Source organism: Homo sapiens, chromosome 2 (assembly GCF_000001405.40).
Source record: "Homo sapiens chromosome 2, GRCh38.p14 Primary Assembly".
Lineage (NCBI taxonomy): Eukaryota > Metazoa > Chordata > Mammalia > Primates > Hominidae > Homo > Homo sapiens.
In genome coordinates, this window is record NC_000002.12 from 120,882,874 (window position 1) to 120,905,308 (window position 22,435).

Below are 22,435 nucleotides of genomic sequence, written 5' to 3' on the forward strand. Positions count from 1 at the left end.
ATACAGTTCTGTTAATTTTAACAAATGTATACGGTTGTGTAACCATCACAACCAAGATACAGAACAGTTCCCTCTCCCCAGAGCGGGCATCCTGTCCTTCCGTAGCTGCTCTCCCACCCTCCTACCCCCAACAGCCCCTGGCACACTCTATTATGTTTCCCATCCCTATAATTTTGCCTTTTCCTGAATATCATATAAATGGCATCATAAAGTATGTTTAGCTGGGGCTTTTGAGAGAGAAGTAATAGGTTCCTTCCGTGGGTTTAGCCTTTTGTTTGCATCTGCTCTCATGAAAAGGTCTATGCTTTTATCAAGCCTAAAAGATAACCTTGGCCGGGCTGGTGGCTCACACCTGTAATCCCAGCAAGTTGGGAGGTAAAGGTGAGCAGATCGCTTGAGCCCAGGAGTTTGAGACAAGCCTGGGCAACATGGCAAAACCCCATCTCTATTTTAAAAAAGAAAAATTAGCCGAGCATGGTGGCACGTGCCTACAGTCCCAGCTACTTGGAAGGCTGAGGTGGGAGGATCACTTGAGGCCAAGAGGTTGAGGCTACAGTTAACTAAGGTCGCACCACTGCACCCCAGCCCAGGTGACAGAGCGAAACCTTGTCTCAAAACAAACAAATAAACAAACAAACCCACGATAACCTTGAAGAAGACAGCCGCACTGTACAGGAAGCTCTGGTGTGTGCAGGTATTTGTAGAGCATTTGCTACGCTGACCCGTTAAGTCCCTACAGCAGTCTCATGAGGGTAGTTATTATTGTAATCCTGTTTAACAGATGAGGAAACCGAGGCTCAGAGAAGTGTAATCATTCACTGTGGTCACATAGCTCAGATCTGAACCCACTTCTGTCATCCTCACTATTCTGTGTGGTTGTTTGGCTGAGTCTTGGATGAGGGATACTTGCAATGATAGGTAGCCTCTGGCCCCTGGTGGTGGGGGTAGGGAGTGGGAGAGTCGGAGAGGTAGAAGAAAGCCGCTAGATCCAGGCCTCTAGCCCCTATCTCTACGGGGGACTCCCTTCCAAGGAAAATTGTCTGTGCTCCAGACCCCCGCAGCAGATGAGTGTGTGGAGGCCTGATTTTGGAGAGTGGGGATTTGCACCCTTCCGCAGGCCACCCCTGTGTTCCTGCTCATACTTTTGCATAGCCACCACCTGAAGTTAGGGCAGCCCCAGCCCTGGGGGAGACTTTAGGGGCCAGGGGCAGCTCAGTGCTGGGCTCACAACCACAGAACACCAGCTTTCCTGGCCTAGGTCACACTTTGCCAGGCCACACCATGAAGGGGAGAGAGCGCCCATCCTTGGGGAGCAGGATCCAGGGTCTGTGAGACCCAGGCGTGGGCTGCAGGGAGAGTGAGGTCGTCCGCACGGATGGTGGAGTGGACAGAGGCCAGCAGAGGCTGCGCGCCCATGTGCGGGCCAAGGGGAGAGCGTAGGTAAAGGACAGTATTGCAGTCTTGGGACCAAGTGCCACTAAACCTTATGGGTAATGGGTTTTTCATCCCCTGGGTAATAGGAGACACCAAAAAATGAGGACATTACTTAGTGAGTCCCTCACCTCCCTGGCCCCATTCAGCAGACTCGGAGGAAGGACATTGCCCAGCATTGAGCCGTGTGTGGATTTAATGGGGTTTCCAGCTAAACCTTCCATCAAATTTACGGCTGTGCCTGTCTCCTGACCTTCCCCCTCACACATTCTTTTCAGAAATGAAGCTGTGTGCAGGCTGTGAGGTGTCACTTCCCCCACGCTGGAGATATACAGCTTGGGCCTGGGTTGAGACAGTGGATTTAATCAGGCTGGGTCCCCGCAGTTCACCCGCCCCTAAGCTGAGTGACATTAGGGTGGCCGTCGGAGTCCAGCTAGAGTGGGCAGCACGGAGCCAGCAAGTGTTTGTCCTGCCAGCCACAGGCTTCTGCTCAGCCTTGCCTCGCCTCCTTGCTGGGAGAGTGGCGCGTGGGGGCCCAACATCTGCTCACCCCCTGGGCCGGAAGGTGGGGTTCTTCCTGTAATCTTCTCCCACAGCCCCCACCTCCTACCATTGCTGCCATGGCGGGAGCATCATCAGCCGGCCTCACTCCTGCTTTCCCCACTATCCTAACAGCTGGGCTGCTCCTGGCTCCCTCTCCATTCATTTCTTGCCTTCCATCTTGGAAGTGTTCAGTGTCTGCTGAATCCTCCCACCCCAACCTCACTGCCCCTCTAGAGCTTATTGCCTTTCAAATACAGCTCAAATATCACAACCTCCAGGAGGCTTTCCCCGATCTCATCACCCCCAGGGAAGAGATCTCCCTTCTGCACATCATGCAGACCGGGTCCTAGAGGGTGAACCTTTCTCTGTATGCCTTTCTCTGTTGCTGGGCCTGGCCCATGGAAGAGACCCAGTAAATAGACACTGTCATTGTCACAGGGCCATGTTGTCAGATGCCTGCTCCAGAGAGTGAAGCTGCAGCTACATTGCCAAGCTCACTGGGCTTTGTAAATGGCCCCTCAACCTCAAAGGCAGCAGCTGCAGTCTCACAGCTGGCCTCTGGGGAGGCTGCCTTCCGAGGGTGGCTCCCCTGAGCCTGGCCACCCCAGCCTCGGAAATGCTGACAAGGCCTTTCCACCCGTCCCTTCTGGGGCAGCGTGTGTTTTCATGGCCCTTCACTGACTGATCCCATGTTCATCTCACCGACTGCCTCAGAGGCCTCGGGGCCTGGGGCGGGGCAGCTATAGCAACAGGCAGCGTCCAGTGCCCACTCGGACACACAGGGCCCTTGAGGCAGCTGCTGGCAGCAGGAGGCGTCTAGCAGGTGGGCAGAGGGACTCAGGCTTGAGGCCACGGGGAGGATTAAAAATAAAATTGCCTCTGCTCCCTGGAAGCTGAGGCCTCTGTACTTGGAGTTGGAGGATGACAGACACAGGAGGAGGGAGAATCTGCTAGCACCAAACTCCCCTCTACCTGGTCATGTGTGGGAGCGGGGCCTCACGTGTGGGACACTATCATTCACATTCAAGTGATCATTATTATCACACAGGGCCGTGAGCTAAAACCATACTTCTGTCATTCTTTGGCTCTAAGAAAATGAAAAAGGGAAGTAACTCCATTTACTGAGCACCTGTTATATACCAGATAATTTTACATGCATTAGCGTGCCATCCTCATGCTGGCCTCAGGAGGTGAGAACCCCTATTCTCATTTTTCCAAAGTAAATTTGTGTGTGTGTGTGTGTCTGTGTGTTTTGGTTTTGGGGTTTTTTTTTGAGACAGGGTCTTGGAACCCCTATTCTAATTTTTCCAAAGTGTGTGTGTGTGTGTGTGTGTGTGTGTGTGTGTGTGTGTGTGTGTGTGTGCGTGTATATTTTGGTTTTGGGTTTTTGTTTTGTTTTGTTTTGTTTTGTTTTGTTTTGTTTTGTTTTGTTTTTTGAGTCAGGGTCTTGCTGTTTGCCCAGGCTGGAGTGCAGTGTCATTGATCATGGCTCACTGCAGCCTTGTCCTGCTGGGCTTAAGCGATTCTCCCACCTCAGCCACTGGAGTAGTTGGGACCACAGGCGCGCACCACCACACTTAGCTAAGTTTTTAAATTTTTTGTAGAGAAGAGGTCTCATTATTTTGCCCAGGCTGATCTCGAACTCCTGGACTCAAGTGATACTCCCACCTTGGCCTCCCTAAGTGCTGGGATTACAGGCATGAACCACTGGGCACAGCCCCAAAGTGTTTATGAAAGGGAGTGGCAGGGTCAGACCTGCGCTCCAGAGAGCTCATACTAGCCTTCCTGAGGGGCGTGAGTGGGTGAGGCAGAGGTGGAAAGGCTGGGAGCCTGCTTAGTGAGCTGCTGAGACAGACAGGAAATAAAGGGGCCTGGAGTGGGACTGCGGTAGCCTGCATGCTGGCCCCAAGCCGCACCTGGTGGGTGGACCCAGGGCCCCAAGGAACCCCAGACGTTGCTGGCTGGGTGGATGGCGGTGCCCTTGCTGAGGCAGGAGACCCTGCCCAGGAGCAAGCACAAGGTGCTGGGAGAAGATGCCACGGTCTGTCTGTGTCAGGCGAGGCACATCCAAGATGCCTGGGGCTCACGCAAGGGCTGGACGGAGAGATCCAGGGCTCAGAAGAGAGATCTGGGCCCGAGACGCAGATGCAGAAACACATGGTGAAAATACTCATCCAACACACTCACGTTTTTCCTCCGTAGGTGCCAGTGACACTGTGGGAAGATGCCTGGCTTCCCAAGCACACCTCAGACGCTGGCCCCCGATCAATGCCTGTGGTCCTTGAAAGCAGATGGCCAGATGCCCTGCCTGAAAACTCCCACATGGCAAGTGGTAGATGTCACAAGCCACAGAGCACCCCCCGCCCACAAGATCCCCCAGCCTGCTTGTGGGAGGGAACATCCCATTCTGGTGCTTTTGATCTCTTCCTGCAAATATGCAGCTCAGGCGACCTGGGAATATTCCCCCACAGTGAACCTGAATTGATACTCACCAAATTAGATCAATTCCAGCCGGAGCCTGGAGCCTGTGATTATCACCCTCTCACCGTGCTCTTTTCCTTGCTGGGCTGCGTGTTGGATTTCCAAAAGGCTTGTAATCAACAGCAGAGAGAGCTATGTATAGCCCACTCCCCGCGCTGGCGAAGCCCGGGAAGGCCACTGTTTGAGGTTAGGCTTGAGTCAACTTGTACCATGTACTTGGGAGCCATTCAAAAGAGGCGGTGCACACACAAATCATGATGGGGCTAATCAGAAGTTTGGGTATTTAGTGGGATATGTACACAGCAATCATTGTTGGAAGCGCCCTTCTCCCACAGAGGCCATTATCCCGGAGCGGGGTGCTGTTTGCCTGGTTTTGTCTGGGCCACAATTTGCATTCACTTGATGGATTGTCAGGGTCGGGGGTCTCCTCCTTGGGAAACAGTGGAGTGACTGCTCAGCACACTCTTAAGAGGAAGGGGAGCGCTAATACCAGCGTTTGCCCAGGTCCTTGAGAGGGCCCGGGGATCCTAACGCAGTGCTAGATCAATATGACAGGCGCTAAGAAGCTTGGGACATGCATTCACAAACCCCTTTTATTGCTCCACTCCAAGCCAGGGAGAGGGGAGCTGCAGCTTGGGCACAGCTAGCAGGACCTGGCCGACAGGCTCTTGTTTGTTTTCCCGGCTGCGGTGGCCTGCGGTTCAGTTCAAGTTTGCCAAAGTGATTTGGAGTGGCCTTCCCCAGCTGAGCCTTGCGTGGGACCTGTTAAGCCCCTGCTCTGTCACCTGCCTTCTTTCTGTCTGGCTGGATGCCGAAAAGAAACCTCCAGAGGGAGAAGGGAGTCGGGGAGGGGTAGAAGGGAGGCCTGTTTTGCCCGCTGGGGCAAGGGCAGCTGTTTCTCTGGGGGTAAACACTCTTAGTTGCCAAAATGCCCTGCAGTTGAGTGATGTTGCTTTCTCGTTTGGCAAGGCGAGAGGTGTTTTTGTTTTATTTTTGGTATTTTCCTGGGACATCTGTGACACCTGTTGACTCCATGAGTTCTCTCAATCTCATCGTCCCCGAGCATTAGGAACAAAGCCCAAGGGTTCCACATTCTCTCCTTTTGAACAGCACCGCCATCACTTTTATCTTCTTAATTTTCAGGGTGTTTTCTTCTCTTCAGACAGGAGAGACCCTGTGCAGTGTGATTCAGGGGAGAGTGGGCACCAGTGAGAGACACACAGGCCGTGAGGGCCATGTTCCCTAACAAACAGTGTTTGGTGTGGACAGGGCCTACTAGGGTGTGGTGGGTGGGGAGATTGTTGAGTTTTTTTTTATTGCAACCAGTCTTCAGAGCAATCAGGGATTTTCTTTTCTTTCTTCGTTCAGAAACGTGTGAGGAAAGCTGACTAGCATCGACAATGCCAGGTTTCCTCTGTTGGGCCTTCTATTCAGGGTCGCTGCTTGCATGTTCCAGTTCTGGGTCAGGACTCATGGTCAGCGTTGGCTGACATCTCAGTAGCAAGTCTTTTTTCCAGGAGAACCCAACACTTCAAAGGCTTATCAGTTAGTGGTGACTTCGTGTTTCTAGTTCTCCATGTTGATGGCTAAAATGGAGACAGTTGAGTTGTCCCCAAGAGGGGACCAAGTCTTTCCTTTTCCCTGGGGGTGGGGAGGGTAGAGTGAAGGAGGCCCAGGCTAGACGGCCGTGAGGACTCTGTCCAGAAAGGGCCCCTCCAGCAAGGGTGATGGGTTGGGCGCTGCAGGACCGCGGAGAAACAGAACGCATCTTTATCTGGTCCTCCGAAAGAAGTGCGGTGGCCATAGTCTCCTCTTTTAGCCCTTTTCTGCCCCTGTGTCTCAGAAAAGTCTTGAAAGGGCTGGAAGTCTGTGGGTGATGTTAGCCTGCTGAGATGCTCGAGGAAACTCAAATGGCTCTTTCTTTGTATCACGTCTTTCCTGTCAACTCATACCCCACCTTGAGCCAGCCCTCAGAAGATGGTTGCAAGAGACACACCTTGGGTAGTAAAGGTGGAGAAAGAATGCTTTCCAGTTCAGACAGTCAGCTCCTCCATCGAGGAAGGATGAGAAATCACAGCCTTCAGGATTTCAGGCCAGGCACAGGACTCTTAGACTTGATACCATAAGCATGATTCATAAAAGGAATGATTGACACATTGGACCTCGCCAAAATCAAAAATTTTGCTCTTCGAAAGACCCTGTTGAGAGGGTGAAGAGACAGGCTGCAGAATGGGAGAAAATATTTGCAAACCTCATACCTGACAAGGGACTAGTACATAGAATATGTACTCAAAACTCAACAGTAAAAAAGAAACAATATAATTAGAAAATGGGCAAAAAACAGAAAGAGACCTTTCACAAAAGAGGATTATATAAATGGCCAATAAGCACATGAAAAGGTGTTCAACTTCACTAGCCATTAGGAAAATGCTAATTACAACTGAGCGAGGTATTATACACACATCAGAATGGTTAAAAGAAAAAATATTCATAATGAGAATGCAGAGAAACAGGAGCACTCACACATAGCTGGTGGGAATGTAAGACGGTACAGCCTCTCTAGAAAACAGTCTGGAAGCTTATTATAAAGGTAAACATACTGCATAGGACCCAACAGTTACACCCTTGGGCATTTATTCCAGAGAAGTGAAAATTTATATTCACACAAAAACCTGTACACAAATATTTATAACAGTTTTATTTGTGATGTCCCCAAACTGGAAACAGCCCAGATGTCTTTTCGTGGTCGAGTGGTTAGACAAACTGTGGCACATTCATACCAGGGAATACTACTCAGCAGTGAAAAGGGACAAACCATAGATGCCTGTACCAATTTGGCTGAATCTTCGGGGAATTATGCTGAGTGCAAAAGCCAATCCCAAAAGGTTACCAACTATGTGTTTCCATTTATGTAACATGTTTGATGTGATGAAATTTTAGAAATGGAGAACAGATCAATGGTTTCCAGGGTTTAATGACAGTAGGGGTGAGGGAGAGGAGGGCAGCAGAAGGGTGCTCATCGTGACAGAACTGTTTAGTATCCTGACTGAGGTGGTAGATATTGAATCTGTACCTTTAATGAAATTGCATAAAACTAAATGCACACACATTCACATATATATATATATATATACACATAAAACTAAATGCATACACATTCACATACATACATACCTGCGTGCAAGTAAAACTGAGGAAATTAGAACAAGGCAGATGCATTGTATCACTATCAGTATCTTGATTCTGATATTGCACTGTAGCTTTGCAAGACATGATTGGGGAAATCTAGGTAAATCATACACAGGATGTCTTCCTGTTACTTCTTACAGCTGCATTTGAATCTCAAATTAGCGAAAAATAAACAAGGTAATTAATATATGCAATGCGAATTACGTCACGTGTCTTCACTAGCTTGTCCTCAAGTAAGCAAGCCGTGCTGTTTCCCAAGGGGCTGGGCCTCCTTCGGGACATCTATGCTTACCTGGAGGCTGGTGGGTTATAGCGAGGTGGGGGCACGGGTCCCCCCAAAGCTTGGCTTCGTGAAGCTGGTACCCAGGTAGTGGGGAGGAGAGAGGATGTGTGTCCTCCAGTTCTCCTTCAGTCATTTTCACCTCTTGGAGTTTGCATCTTGGGGATGGCTTCTCCTAATGCCTTCCCAGGACTGTGTTCATTTGTTCATTCATTCATTCATCAGTCCATTTGTCAGCAGGGATTTCTTGAGGACCCACTGGGCACCAGACGTGGAGCCCACAGAAATGAAAAGATGGACCTTTCAGCATCAGGGAGCTGATGGCTGGTGGGGAGCAGGCAGTGGCTTGAATGCCACACAGGAAGGTGCTATGGGAGAGTAGCAGGCACCCCTCACCCAGGAGTGGGTGCACTGGGCGGGGTGTCTGGTGGATAAAGAAGAAATCGGGGAGCCTTGCTGGAGGTGATGGTGCTTGTGTTGCCTGTTGAACAAGTGGGTGTAGGCAGAGAAGGAATTTCTTGAGAGGCAGTGTTGCCTAGTGGTTAAGAGTTGGCTGCCTGGGTTTGAATTTGGTCTCTGTTTAACTTCTCTTCTTCAGTTTCCTTTTCCATGAAATGAAGGCAAAAAGGGACCCTACCTTATAGGCATCGTAATGTGGATCAAACCAGTTCACATTTTTCAGGACCTGGCCCATGGTGAATGCTGGGTAAGTGTTTGATAAATTAAATCACACAAATAGATGAACGGGCGTACAGAATGTGATTGAAGCCTGGGCTATGCTGGGAGAAATCAGAGCTGGAGTACAGGCTGTGAAGGGAAGGGGGAGCAGCAAAGGGCAGGGCCTGGCTTTCCCCTGGATGCTTATGGGCACCTCTCCTCTGGGGAGCCGGCTATGCTCCTGGCTCCAGTAGAGTGGAGGGCACCACACATGCTTTCTTTACAGGGGAAGGCGCTGTTCCCTTCTCTTCCTTACTTGCCCTTTCCATGCACCCTGACCCCACTGAAAAAGCAGCAGAGAGGGGCTTTGCACACCAGGCTGTCCTCATTTACTCAGTCCAGATACCTGGGAGATTGTGAGAAGCTGGATGCACCTTCCTGGACCAGCGACCCCTCTTTCCACTGCACTCCAGGTGTGACCAATGCCAGTCTTCACTGAGCACAGTGGGTGAAGCCCCCTTCCCATCCCACCCCACCCTGCACCTTGTGACCTCCTGCTTGGCTCTGCGGATTGTGGTCACCACCTTGGACTACTTAACCCCAGCACTTTGGACAAAGCTTGACATCTGATCAGGTGCTCATTAAAAGCACTGTCCCATTGTCGGGCCCCCATCCACCTCTCTCCCCCGTCAGCCAGGGAAGGGAAGATTTGGTCTCTTTGCTCACGTGACAGAGATGTCCCCACCTTTTTGACCTGTTGAAGGTTCTTCTGGGCCACAGGAGAAACGTTTGTTTCACGAGAGGTTTCTGCAGGTGGTGGGCCTGAGCCGCCTGCTCTGGGAGGACTGAGGTTTGGGCTGAGGAACTACGTGGTCATTCGGTGGTTGATGTGGAGTTGGAAGCCCTTGTGGGACCTTGGGCAGGGCACAGGCCTCTGTCTGCCCCTTGGAAAAGTGGGTGCATAAATCCTGCTCTGTGCATAAATCCTGTCCCAGCTAGCCAGGGGCTGCAGAGGGGAGAGTTCTGGTGCTGGCCCGGTACCAGCTTGGATGGTTAGTGTTTGTGGCAGGAGCCATCATGCTCTGCCTCTCCTGCCGCCACCTCCTGACCACTTTACTGGATCCTGCACCTGCGTGTTTGTGCCTGAGGGGCTTTTTCTTGCTGCTGCGCTGGTGGCAGTTCAGGGTGCCAGGAAATTAACACTGATAATCAGTAACCCTACTTAACAAATGTCTATGGCAGAACTGGTGTGTAAATACCCCAGCTCCCTCACCCCTCAGCTGGGTCTACTCTGGTTCTCAGAAGTTCTGTGTGGAGCTCAGCTGCCCTTGCCCAGAGTGGTAGGGGGTGTGCCATTGTCCCTGATTCACCACCTTCGGTGTCTCTTCCTGATGTCCTCAGCTGCCCTGTCATCTCCAAAATAAACCACTTGCACTCACATCCTTGTCTCAGGTTCTGCCCCTAAGAGACCCAAACCCAATGGGGTTGTTGCCACTTTTCTGATAGATGCTGTGGATTTGAAGTCAGGAAGGATAGACCACCGCTAACCCGAGGAGTGACCGCCAGTGTGAAATGTGGGCCATGACCCCTGCCTGGCAGAGCTCCTGCCCCCAGCGTGCATAGTTATGAGTTATTTGACTAAGGCATCTTGCCACAGCCTTCTCAAATATCTCAGCAGCTCAGCCTGTCCTCTGTAGTTTGGGAGGAAGGCTGAATGGCCAGGAATAGCTGGGGCTTCTATTTCTTGTTTCCTATTTTAGTTTTTGTCCTTGTTGTTGGATGACGTGGAGGGAGAAGGGTGGGCTCAAGGTGAATAACCAAGCCCAGCCCCTGAAGGGAGAGTTCTTTTCAAACCCTGGTGGCCCCTGCCCGCCCCCCAGCCTCCCCTCCCCCACCTGGGGTATGTGTGTGGCTCTGGCACAATTAAGATTCTTGCTGGGTGCCCCCAGCCCCCGCTGGCCCTGCTGCTGAGCAGCCTGTCTTGAAGGATCTTCTGAGAACGGACTCCTTTTCTGGGAGCGTTTATAAGAGATTTCTCATGGCTCAGTTCCCCTATAGAAAACCAGGAATTGTAAGTCTTACATAGCTCAAGAAAGAAAGTGAAGGGAGTGAGTCAGAGCCGGCCAAGAATGAGTGAACAGGGTTGGTGGCAGTGTCTCGGGAGGAATTACCAAAAAAGAAATGAAAGGAAAAAAGAAGAAAGAAAAAAAAAAAGGAAAAAGAAAAGCAAAACCAAGTTCCCCCCAACCCCCCACAAAACAGAAAAAAAAGATAAACTTTTAGCAAACTAATGTGGACAGGGGGCCTCTGAACTCCCTGGCAAAGCAGTTGGGCGAGGAAGCGGATGGTTTTCTGGGTCTTCAAGTGCATTCTGCCTCCTTAGTCCAGGCCTTTGTGGACCTGGTCTGGGGGAATATTTAGCAAAGCTGTTTATTTTGCATAAACCCGAGTAATGACCCAGCCCTAGGGGAGGGAATTGTGTGGGGCTGACAGCAGCGTGATTTAAGGGGGAGCCACCTGACCCCTGCCCCTCCCAAACGTCCCCTGCAGAATAAACTCGCTTTCTTCCCAGCCCGCTGCATGTTAATCAATGCCGAAGGCTGAGGCCCGAGAGGCCTATTGTGGGGACAGTCGGGTCCTCCTGGGGCTTTGTGGCAGCTCCAGCTGAGTTCCTTTCTCTCTGCTGCTCACTCTGACTTTCCGGAAAGGCCCCAATCTCACCCTGGAGCTCAGCTTGCTTTCCTGGTTCTTCCCAAGCAATTGTCCGTCTCTCAGATCTGTGCACTTTTTGAAAGCAAAACTCATTAGTATATTTTTTAAATGTGTTTTTGTGACAGATGTCCCTTAGAAAGGACACCCCTTAGAAAGGATAGCTGCCTGGGGCCCGCGTAGCTGATAGCTGCCTGGGACCGGCGTGGCTCCGCTGACTCAGGCTGGGTTTCAGCTACGCCTCTGGGGGACTTTAGCCTTGAGTATACGCAGCCTGGGAGTCTCCAGTGCTCAGAGTGCCTGCTCTGTTCCCTCCTGAGCATTCTGTTCCCTTCTCACTCTCTTTCTAGAGCGCCAGTGTGGGATCAGTTCTTACTGCCAGGGGTGGGGGCTAATCTGTGTCTTGTGTCCTTGAGGACCACAAATGAAGACATGCATTAACCCTTGGGGGGGGGTACCAGTGATTTCAAACCGCCCCCCCATAAATCCCCCCACTTCCATTTTACCTCTTTCCTCCCATATGGTTTTCTTTTCTTTCTTTTTTTTTTTTTTGAGACAGAGTTTTGCCCTTGTTGCCCAGGCTGGAGCGCAGTGGCGCGATCTTGGCTCACTGCAACCTCTGCCTTCTGGTTTCAAGCGATTCTCCTGCCTCAGCCTCCGGAGTAGCTGGGACTACAGGCGCCTGCCACCAAGCCTGGCTAATTTTTGTATTTTTAGTAAAGGCAGGGTTTCACCATGTTGACCAGGCTTGTCTTGAACTCCTGACCTCGTGATCTGCCCGCCTCAGCTTCCCAAAGTTCTGGGATTACAGGCGTGAGCCACTGTACCCGGCCCAGTATGGTTTTCTTTCTAGTGCCTCAATGGGTGCCTCCTTGAGGACCTGGCTGATGGGGAGGGGAGGGGAGGGGCTCCCCGGTGGAGGCTTGGGCCACCAGGCTGTGGACACTGCATGGACCTCAGCCATCCCTGCAGGCTGGCCTGGCTTCCCTCTGTGTCAGCCTTTCCAGCGTTTGCAGCCAGCAATTCTCTCCTTGGAAACTGGGAGGGAAAAGAAAACAACAACAATGAAAAAACAACAACAAAACTAAACGTGTGAACTTGGCTGTAAGTATGGAGCAGAAAAGTTTTGCTTGGATGTGGCACTGGGGAACTGATGGAAGGAACAGTCCTTTGTTAGAAGGGGAGGAAGGGGAAGTGAAGTAGTCTCTCCTTAGAATTGGGGTGAATTGTTATGAATAAAAAATACATACTTCTCAGGGCTGGATGCAGTGGCTCACACCTGTAATCCCAGCACTTTGGGAGGCCAAGGCAGGCAAATCACCTGAGGTCAGGAGTTCGAGACCAACCTGGCCAACATGGTGAAACGCCATGTCTACTAAAAATACAAAAAGTAGCTGGGCATGGTGACATGGGCCTGTAATCCCAGCTGCTCGGGAGGCTGAGGCAGGAGAATTGCTTGAACCTGGGAGGTGAAGGCTACAATGAACTGAGATTGCACCACTGCACTCCAGCCTGGGTGACAGAGCGAGACTCCGTCACAAAAAACAAGAACAGAAACAATAACAAAAACAAAACAAAAACATGCTTCTCAGTAAGTTTCCCTGGGAGGATGGGCCCGGAACCCAGAGACACTTCGTCTGGTCACTGGTCTCCCCTCGTCTTGTAATCCCTTCCTTGCCTCTTTTTAAAAGGAAAGGTTTGAGCCCACTGTGGTTGCTATGGTTTTCTAACCAACACCTTGATATTTGCAAAGGGCTCTGAAGTCATTAGAGCTATTTCTTGCTCATCACCTCCTGGTGAGACAGATGTGACTCTCCCCTCCCATTTTATGGGTGAGGAAACTGAGATTGGAGAAGGCAGACAAGGGCCAGGGTGTCCTGGAGCTGTGTGAAGGTTCTAGGGTTGTGATTCATCAAGCCAACAGTTAGAACTGTCATAGTTTTCCTGTCCCTCTCTGTCCCTGAGTGATCTTGGGCAGGTTGGTTCTCACCTGCCTTGATGGTCTGTGGATCTCATAGCATTAAGTGTGGCTCAGATTTCTCCCTCCCTTCTTTCCCCCACCCTCTCTCCGCCCCACCCTGAGGTCAGCCTGAAGGCAGCCCCCTAGCCCCACCCCAGGCCTAGTGGGAGACTCAGACACACCAGGGGTGTGGGTAGGCGAGGGCCATGACCCCAGAAGGCTGTTTGGGGTCCAGAGGGAGCCCAGAGGGGCCCTGTCTTCCCTGCCTGAGGCAGGGTGGGATCCGGCATGTCTCAGAGATATGAGTATTAGCCAGGCCCACCAAGCTGGGGTGGGGGGGTATTGACAGTAATAAGGAGGTGGTTTCTGTTCTGAAGGGTGAAACTCTGAAGGCCCTAGTGCTGGTGTGGTGGTAACAGCAGTAAAAATTTTAGCACCACCAACAACTGGCATTTTGTTTTGAAGGTGGAAGTGTCAACAGGTCTCTACCATGGCTTCCTTTGAAAAACACACATACACACACACACACACACACACATACACCCACCCCCCCACACACTCACACACACCCATACACACACACACACACACACACACACACACACACACACACAGCCTTCTTCGGAGGCCTTGGCCCTTTTTCTCAAGGAATCCCCAGCTTGGGCGTTAATCCCTCAAGAGTCACCAAGAGTTAACTCTTGAGAAGCTCGTTTATTCATTTTTACCCTATGTAGTTCTACAGGCAGCCTCCAAAAATGCATAGTGTGTAACAGGGCTGAACAAAAAGTGGCGGAGATCAGGGGAAAGAAAAAAAGGGGATCATGAAATAGAAATTAACAAGTTGAAGTTGAGGCCAGTGCTTGCCTAGGGGCAGGGGAGGAACGTGTCCACCTCTGTCCCAGGTGGCCTGTGTGAGGGAGAGGGGCTGGGGGAAGAGATTCCTGCACTGTTCCCCATGGGGCTGCCTGCGGGCACATGCCTCTCCCCAGCACCACCCCCACTGACACGCTCCAGCCGCCACGCCCTCTCCATCACAAATGTGGCCACAGCTCCTGGTCTTGTCCGGGTCAGCCTCAGAAGTAGCAAACTCCCCGTGTTGACTTCCTGTTAGGGGAACGAGGATTCCATCCTTTGAGTCCTAAACCTCTGAAACAGCATGGGCCCCTGCTCCCTGGCTCTGCCCAGAGTTGTCAGAGATTCAGAGAATCGTCTCTCAGTTTTGCTCAAGAGCCTGAACACTACCGCTTTCCTACTAAAGGCTAAAAATAAATTTTGAAGCAATAAAGGTGATCACAGTAGAGACAGTTCTCCACTTACAATGGCTCGACTTTACTGTGGGTTTACTGGGGCATGGTAAGTTGAGGAGTAAATGTGTTACTTTGTAAGGAGGGCAAAGATTGTAGGCACAGGGTTTTTGGAGGCCAGGGGATTGATTCTGTTGGGTTTCTAGTCTCCTCTGGATGACATCACCAACCTGAAATCCCTTACCTGTGTCATAACAAAGGACACTTTGTGTAATTTTCTTAGATACTCACATCTTTACCACTCTATTCTGGAAAAAAATACCCATTTAGGCCTTGCCGTTAACATGTCTGATCTCAGGCCTGAAGATCTCTTAGAGACTCAGTTTCCCTTTCTGTACAATGAGTGGGTTTGACTGATACTCATGCTGAGCTGGTATCTTTTATCCTGTATTTATATAACATGGTCACCTCTTTAGGGTGCTAACATTTTATGAGACCTCTTTAAGGTGCTAAAGTCTCATGATATCATCCAGTAACTCTACCCCATGAAGGGACATTTTATTACTCATTAGGCATCAATGTCAGGTTCAGCAAGTCTTATCTTGATGCTGACCCTTGGGAACTGCACCTTTCTGCTTTCCACCGTTCAGAGGAGTTGATACACTGTGATTTTCAGTGAAGGGGGACCACAGGTCCCCTTCACCTGTGGTCTTTTCTTGTTGCTGTTTTGTGGAGTGGTTTCCATCCACCCCCTACTCCCTCGAAATTAGGGTTAAAACGCAATGGCATAAGGCACTGATATAGATTAAAACACACACACACACACACACACACACACACACACACACAAAATGATTGTCATAAAGAAAATCATTCCAGTCCTGTGAGTTTGGGATTATATTTTCCCCAGACATTTACTGTGTTTATAGAGAAAAATAAATATCTCTGTAAACATGTGTTGTATTTACAGTGAAAATAAATATCTAAATAAATATTAAGCTTTTAAAATTGGAGCACTCGCAGAAGGAAATGCAAATGGATGTGAGCGAGGGCTGCCTCACTTGGGGCGTGCATGCCTGGATTCGCACTGAATTGGGGTGCGTTTGTCTTTCTTTCCAGCTCGGAGTGCAGAGCCATGCTTCAGGGAGGGGAAATGAACATTTATGGAGCACCCACTATGGGCTCGACACTTTACAAAGAGAGCTTCATTTTATCACCACCCGGCTCTGGGTGGCAAGGAGTATCTGTGTTACTTTGTAAAGAGGGCAAAGATTGTGGGCACAGCGTTTTCGGAGGATTCTGTTGGTTTCTAGTCTCCTCTGGATGACATCACCAATCTGAAGTCCCTTGCTTGTATCATAACAAAGTGTCCTTTGTTATTTTCTCAGATAGAGAAAATAGATGAGGAAACTGCAGCTCAGAGAGGTGAAGCGACTTGTCCAAAATGACAGTTACCAGTTGGGGTAGCTGGATGTTGTTCTCACCCAGAATGAAAGAGCAAGTTATGGAACAAATCTGTACATGGCTGCTGGTGCTAAGACTTTTCTAAATCCAGGACCAGGGTTAGAAAAGCCAGGAGCTATGGCAGTTGTCAGCACGTGGCACCTCCAGACACAGAAACGAAAGGGTCTGCGGTGGAGTCCTTTTTCCTCTACTCCCTCCGGGAGGGCCTGGCTGCTCACGCATTTACGCCTCTCTCCAAACACTGGGTCCTTCACTGGAAACTCCTCTGAAGGACAGCAAGCCTCCTGCACCCCGCCAGGAGAGCTCTTTCCTGGAGATCAATCTGCAGAGAGCAGGCTCATTGTGAGCCATTGTGAGCCAGAGCAGGCTGCAGCTGGGCCTCATCTGTGCATTTGTGTTTTACAAGCAGGCGTCTTGGTGGGAGATGGGTTTTGCAGATCAGTGTAATATAGAAGCAAACACTTGAGGATGGGAGGGAGAGCACGTTTCTCACTTTAGGGGTTTGCTTCCAGGACTTCCTTTTTTGGAAGTATGTTCTTTTTCTCTCTCATACACACTTGTGTGTACACACACATACACACACACACACACACACACATACACACATGCACACACATTCCACCCCACAGCCTGTTCCTCAGGCTGCAGCTTCCCCAAGGAAGGCGAGTGCCCCGAGCCTGCTCCTAGCTGAGCCTGCGCAAGGCCATCAGCCAGTCTTGTCTGGGTCGAAAAGGTCTCGTTGGCTGTGTGATGCAACTTGCAGTGAACTGAGGGTGACTGTGGGCGTCACAGCAGCGTCTCAGAAGGCCCTGTTCAGCCCTGTCTGGGACCTGTATATAACGGAACTCAGTCTCACCTCTGCAGAATAGGAATGGCGGTGCCCATCTTCCTCTTTCTTGTGGCTACTCTGAGGGTTAAGTGAAGTCATCGATGAAAATACGCTTTAGAAATGAGGTTTGTACAGCGAGTGTAAAGGCAGGCTGTTTTTCTAACTGGTGTCCAAGCCAGGTGTGGACCTGCAGTAAAATGCAAATGACCCTGTTATGTGGACAGGGGCCATTGTGACAGTGAGCTTTGTTAGGATTGCTGCATCACCCACAAGCCTGTTACTGCTGAGCCCCAACTCCAGCTTCTGATTCCAAGGGCCTGGGAAGGTGCGGAGGATTTGCGTCTCTAGCAGGCTCCCAGGACATGCAGAGGCTGCCGGCCGGGGGCCACACTGGGAACTGCTGGGGAAAGTTTGCTTTACTTTGAGTTCTGAGGCAGGCAAGGCAGAAGAGGCAGAATCTCCTGGGGGTGGGAGGGTGGTTACAAAATGAGGCCCCAGCTTGTTTGCAGCCCCCATTGCCTCTTGAATGGTGGATATCCTGGCTGCCTTGCTCTTTTCCCTTCCGGCTCTTTCTTGTTCCTTCTTTAACAGAATATATCCCTTAAACCAGTGCTTCCCAAACTTCAGTGTGCAAAAGAATCAGCCCAGGATCCTGCTAAACTGCCAGCTTCTGAATCCACAGGTCCAGGATGGGGTCTGGGAGTCTTCATTTTAAACACACACCAGGTGATGGCCACTGCTGCAGCTGCTGAGAAGCAAGGACCAAAACAGGCAGTTTCCAAATAGTAAAGTCACTTCTGTTTTGCAAACTCAGATGGCATTTTCTCCATGAAGCTCTCATTACCTAGCTTGGTGACCCTGTGCATAGGATCTGAGAACTCGCTGCCTTGGTTTCCCTTCTGCACCCTAGCGATGTTAACCCTTGGCCCTATGAGGGTTCTGTGGAAGAAACAAGATGAGGGGACAACACCCAGTTCCTTTTAGGCTCTAGATAAACATTATTTGCTGTCTTCTTCTGTCTTTTACTTTCACAGCCCCTGGGTAAAATAGACAAGGGATGTGCGTGGAGACGGACATTGTATCCAAAAATCGGAGGTCAGTGATGTTGAGCGGTTTGCTCAGGATGGTAGAGGCGGCTCTGGAGGTGGCCCCACATCTGCTGACTTCCATGTTCAGGTTCAGAGTTGTGGGTTCAGATTTCAGAATGCGGATCCATCAGAGAATCTGTCTGGTCACTCACTTTCCTTTGCACTTTTCAAGAATTTGATCCTTTTTCTTTTTAAGAGGGAGAACAGAGCCCTCTTGGCTGGCAGGTGTAAATCTTCACTTTGGGGTTTGTTTGTACCAGGGTATGTTCTTTCTCACACACCCACATACTTACCCTCGCCCCCACTTGCATAGGTAAACAGCTTTTAAATGTGTATTTTCTTTCAAAATAAAGCCACTTAAGCTTTACCAAAATGCACTGCTGACATGGAATTCACATTTGGCAAACCCCTGCCATCCGTGTTTTACTGAGTGCAGACTATTGTAAATTAAGGGAAGTCACTGTGTGTGTGTTTTTTTCTTCCAGACTGTTATGGAAGCAGAGCTGGTCCTAAGTAAAAGATAAATTATGGCGGGATCTAAAGAGGCATCATTTAAAAAGTGTCAGGATACAATTGGGTTCTTAAAAACCATGCAGAGCTGCTAAATTCACATGAAAATTGAGTGGAGCTGGATTGCCTGGGGTGACAGCGTCCTTGGCATTGATTTATCCCATCTGTTTGGCCGGCCCATATGACTTGAGGCCTCTGGTGGAGAGGCGGCTTCCGCTGGGCCGGTGCTGCTCCGTGGCCTCTGCAGGTCTTCCTGGCCCCAGCCCCCAGCCAGGCCACTGGGGAGCATGAACAGGTCCAGGGGTCTTCATAGACCACTAGGAGAAAGACACCAATGAAAGGCAACATCCACGGAGTGCACATCCTGTTTCTTATTATTTGTGATAGAATCCTTGCAATATCGTCTTAAAGAATGATTCTGGACTGAATCTAACCACTTCCCCCTTGTTGAGCTTTTAGATTAGATTACCTACAATTGTTTGGTATTAGAAGTTCTACTGTGATTAAAATCTCTGTTCCAGTGCTGTTTACCACTTAGATTTTTACCCTGGAGTAGATTAAGGAGGTGAGATTACTGACAAAGAGTAACTGTTTCCAGCAAGGTTCTTCACAACACTCTTTTCAGCATTGGGTATTCTCATTTTTAAACATATACTTGTAATTTTTTAGGTAGAAAATCGTATTAATTTGCAGGAAATTCAGATTTGTTGTGCCTTTTTTTTAATAAAAAGAGTGTTGTGGAGACTCAATTTGGCAGTTGCGTGCTGGAGCCAGCTCATACCAGCTAACACCAGCTTGTGAGAGCTGGTTCTACGCATCTCTCCCAAACTATATGCTCAGTGTCTTCTCCTTGGTACCTTGAAATCAGCCACAGTGAGAGCATTTACACCATGGAAATTGGCACATGCTACAAGCCATTGACACCCACCCCCCCCCACCCCCAACCCCTTGCCCCATTGCTTCCCCCAAAAGCTGGTTGTTAACATGTGTCAGCATACCACTGCAGCTATTTAACAACCGGCTATAGAGGACTTGCTGGGAAAACACACAATAATAAGAAAAGCCTAGGGTCCAGTGAGAGAAGAAGCAATGGTGGTTAATATTATAATAATTGACACTCTGTGGCCAAGGGCTGTATCTTTGCAGTACTCATCGGGTGTAGTGGGAGGGGAAACAGTCCCTTCAAGGTTTGAGTATTTCAGGAAGGCTTTGCAGGAGAATTAGAGCTCCAGCCAGATTCCCCAGAGTGTGCAAAATAAGGAGGGAAGGGGGAATGAAGGCTGGAGGTATGGTGTGCTCATGGGGGTGTCAGGAGGCACTCATTCCTTGTTGTAGATGATGGCCAAAATAAAAATTCCAGCTGGTGCTGTGAACCTGAACTTTGACATTAGCCAGAGCCCTCCAGAGGCTGTGCTGCCCCTCGCCGGGTCCCTCCTGGGTGATGGCCATGATAGCAGGATGCTGTGCACCTCCTGTTCCTGGCATCTGGTTCCTATTTTATTAGAGGTTGGAGTTCACCCTCAGCAATCTACAGCATGCATGCATTTCAAAGGAAATGCTTAATTAGTCCCCAAGCCTGGGCTTCTTTAGGCTCCCAAGGAGAAATGAATTTTGTTGCCTTGATGGATTGGGGAGGACAGGTGGAGCTCTCAAGTATGTTTGTAAGTTGCAGAAGTTGTTCATTTGGAGACTGTGGGTGTAATAAATGGTATGAGCTGAGGCAGGAGAGGGAAGTGAGACTCAAGTGATGAATGGCAGAGGGGGCATTTATTGAAGCCAGTTCTCCATGGCAGGATTTGGGGCCAGACAACATGGGGGAATAAACTTTTTTTAATGCAATTCAGGGCCGGGCGCAGTGGGTCATTCCTGTAATCCCAACACTTTGGGAGGCTGAGGCAGGTGGATTACTTGAGGTCAGGAGTTCGAGACCAGCCTGGACAACATGGTGAAACACGATCTCTAGTAAAAATACAAAAATTAGCCGGGCACAGTGGCAGGCACTTAGAAGAATTGCTTGAACCCAGGAGGCGAAGGTTGCAGTGAGCTGAGATCACGCCACTACACTCAGGCTTGGGCGACAGAGTGAGACTCCATCTCAAAAAAAAAAAATTGCAATTCAGACAGTTTCTTTAAACAGTCCACCAGCCTCTTGATTGTGGGTTCTGGGTGCTAGTGACCCTCCCCCTGAGAGCCCCCAGGCAGGCCTGGGCCTCACTGAGAGAGACAAAGTCCCACTGTCAGTTCTGACTGACTGTCCCCAGGACCCTCAGCCTTAGATCCCTGGACTTTGGCATAACCACAGGCAGGTTGGCTAAGGATGCCTGAGAAAAAATAGCCAGGCTCTTGGAGTCAGACTTAGCTCGCTGGTCCTTTATTTCACATCCTGCCTTCATTTCCAGAGCGGGTACTGTGCAAGGTGGGTGAGTCTCTGTCCACTTGAGATGCAGGGTGACCTACACAACACACAGTAACATCTGGGTGGTGACAGCCAAGTGACAAGCAGCCTTCCCAAACCCCTTTGTGCTTCCTGCCCTTGGCTGCTGCTGTTCTGCCCCTCTTTCCTGCTGAGCCCAGATGTGTTCCTCCCCAAGGATCCAGAGGGATGAAGACCAGGAACTTATGAAGCGGGCGGGTGACTGTGGTGACTTCACATGGGCCAAGAAACTCAGGGGTTCATTGCTGCAGGTGGGCTTTCAGGAAGGGGAGATTGGGGAGGGGCAGGTGGGCAGTGCAGAGTTTTGGGGGAATATAACAAGCATGGAGTGTGATCCAAGGGTGGGGAGGAGGCTGTCCCCCTCCCCCAGCTCACCTCATCCCCAGGCATGTGTTTATCCCATGAGGACAGCCATGGGCAGTGGGCATGTATCTAGAAATGGTGCCAAGAGTGACTGGGAGGATGGAGACCCCTGAGTTCTGGAACATTCTAGGCCCTTCTGGAAAGAGCATTTGGAACACCAAGCAGTATCCTTACCTGTAGGACACTGAGATGGCTGAATCAGTTACTGTAGGTAAAATCATTCATGGATTTATTCTTTCACTCATTCTTCATTCCTTGAGCATGAACCTGTGCCTGCTGTGGGGGCAGCCCAGGACCAGTCTTCACCCAGATGCTCGTTCTAAACTCTGCCTGCTCTGGTGGGAAGGCAGGGCCCTGGGCTCTGAGAGCCTGTCGGTCCCTGGCTTTCTGTGACCTCACGAGCTCTGGGTTTTGGTTTTCTCCCATCAGGAGAACGTCTGCCTGGCACCTCCTGGGTGCAGGACAGGGTCTGTGTGAACATGTGTGAGCCATGGAGCGGCCTGCCAAGGGAAGTGGCACTGTGACTGAGGAAGGACCCACCTTCCCAGGAGGAGGGACCCACCTTTCCAGGAGGAGGCGCAGCTGTTCTCAACGCCCCCTGCCCGATGGAATCCACTGGGGAGCTTTTTAAAACGCTGGTGCCCTGGAGCCACCCCAGAGAGTCTGCTTCTGTACTGGGCTGGGTTTTGGCCTCTCTTGATTCCCTGGTGTTTCTCCTATGCCTCCAGAGCCTGCGATCTACCAAAGTTGGAAAATAAAGGAGGTGAGGTGGGGGTGGATGATGTCTCTCCCAACTCTATTGGCCCCTGTGCTTCGGCCTCTGGCCCAGCAGAGAGAAGGGAGGGAGTTTGGCTGGTGTGGGGCAGGGAGGCAGGAAGGACAGAGCGCCTGAGCTGCAGGCTTTCCCTCAGCCATTAAAGTTTATCGTTGCCACGGACAGTGATTGAAAAAGGCTTTTTGCAGGACTGAAATGTGAGCAATGAAACTTGCCAGTTGGTACCGACACAGGGCACTTATCTCATAAAAATATCCTCCAGTGTCAAAAGGTTTCAGTAAATGTGGCTGGAAGTATTAGCAGTCATTTCTGGCAGCCTCAGGCTCCCTTGGGGCCTGCAGTGAGGGGCTGTAAAAGGGGGCTCTCAGTTCCTGCAAAGAAGAAGGGAGGGAGGGAGAGAAGGAGGAGGGGAGGGGAAGCCCAAACTCAGCCTACTGCTGTGGGGAAAGTGCTGGAACCTCTACGGGGCGCCCCACAG

The 22,435-nt window shown here is 50.4% G+C and overlaps 1 protein-coding gene across 8 annotated transcripts in view, besides 1 other annotated feature; it reads left to right on the forward strand.

Moving 5' to 3' along the window:
• GLI2 (GLI family zinc finger 2) overlaps positions 1 to 22,435 on the forward strand; it is a 256,786-nt gene that overhangs the window by 147,006 nt on the left and 87,345 nt on the right. The window lies entirely within an intron of this gene.
• Positions 3,997 to 4,564: an enhancer, noted in NCBI's record as "H3K4me1 hESC enhancer chr2:121644446-121645013 (GRCh37/hg19 assembly coordinates)". NCBI's record gives its function as "activates a minimal SCP1, AML or CMV promoter by ChIP-STARR-seq in naive H9 embryonic stem cells {active_cell/tissue: H9 hESC(naive)}" and the evidence as "EXISTENCE:reporter gene assay evidence [ECO:0000049][PMID:30033119]".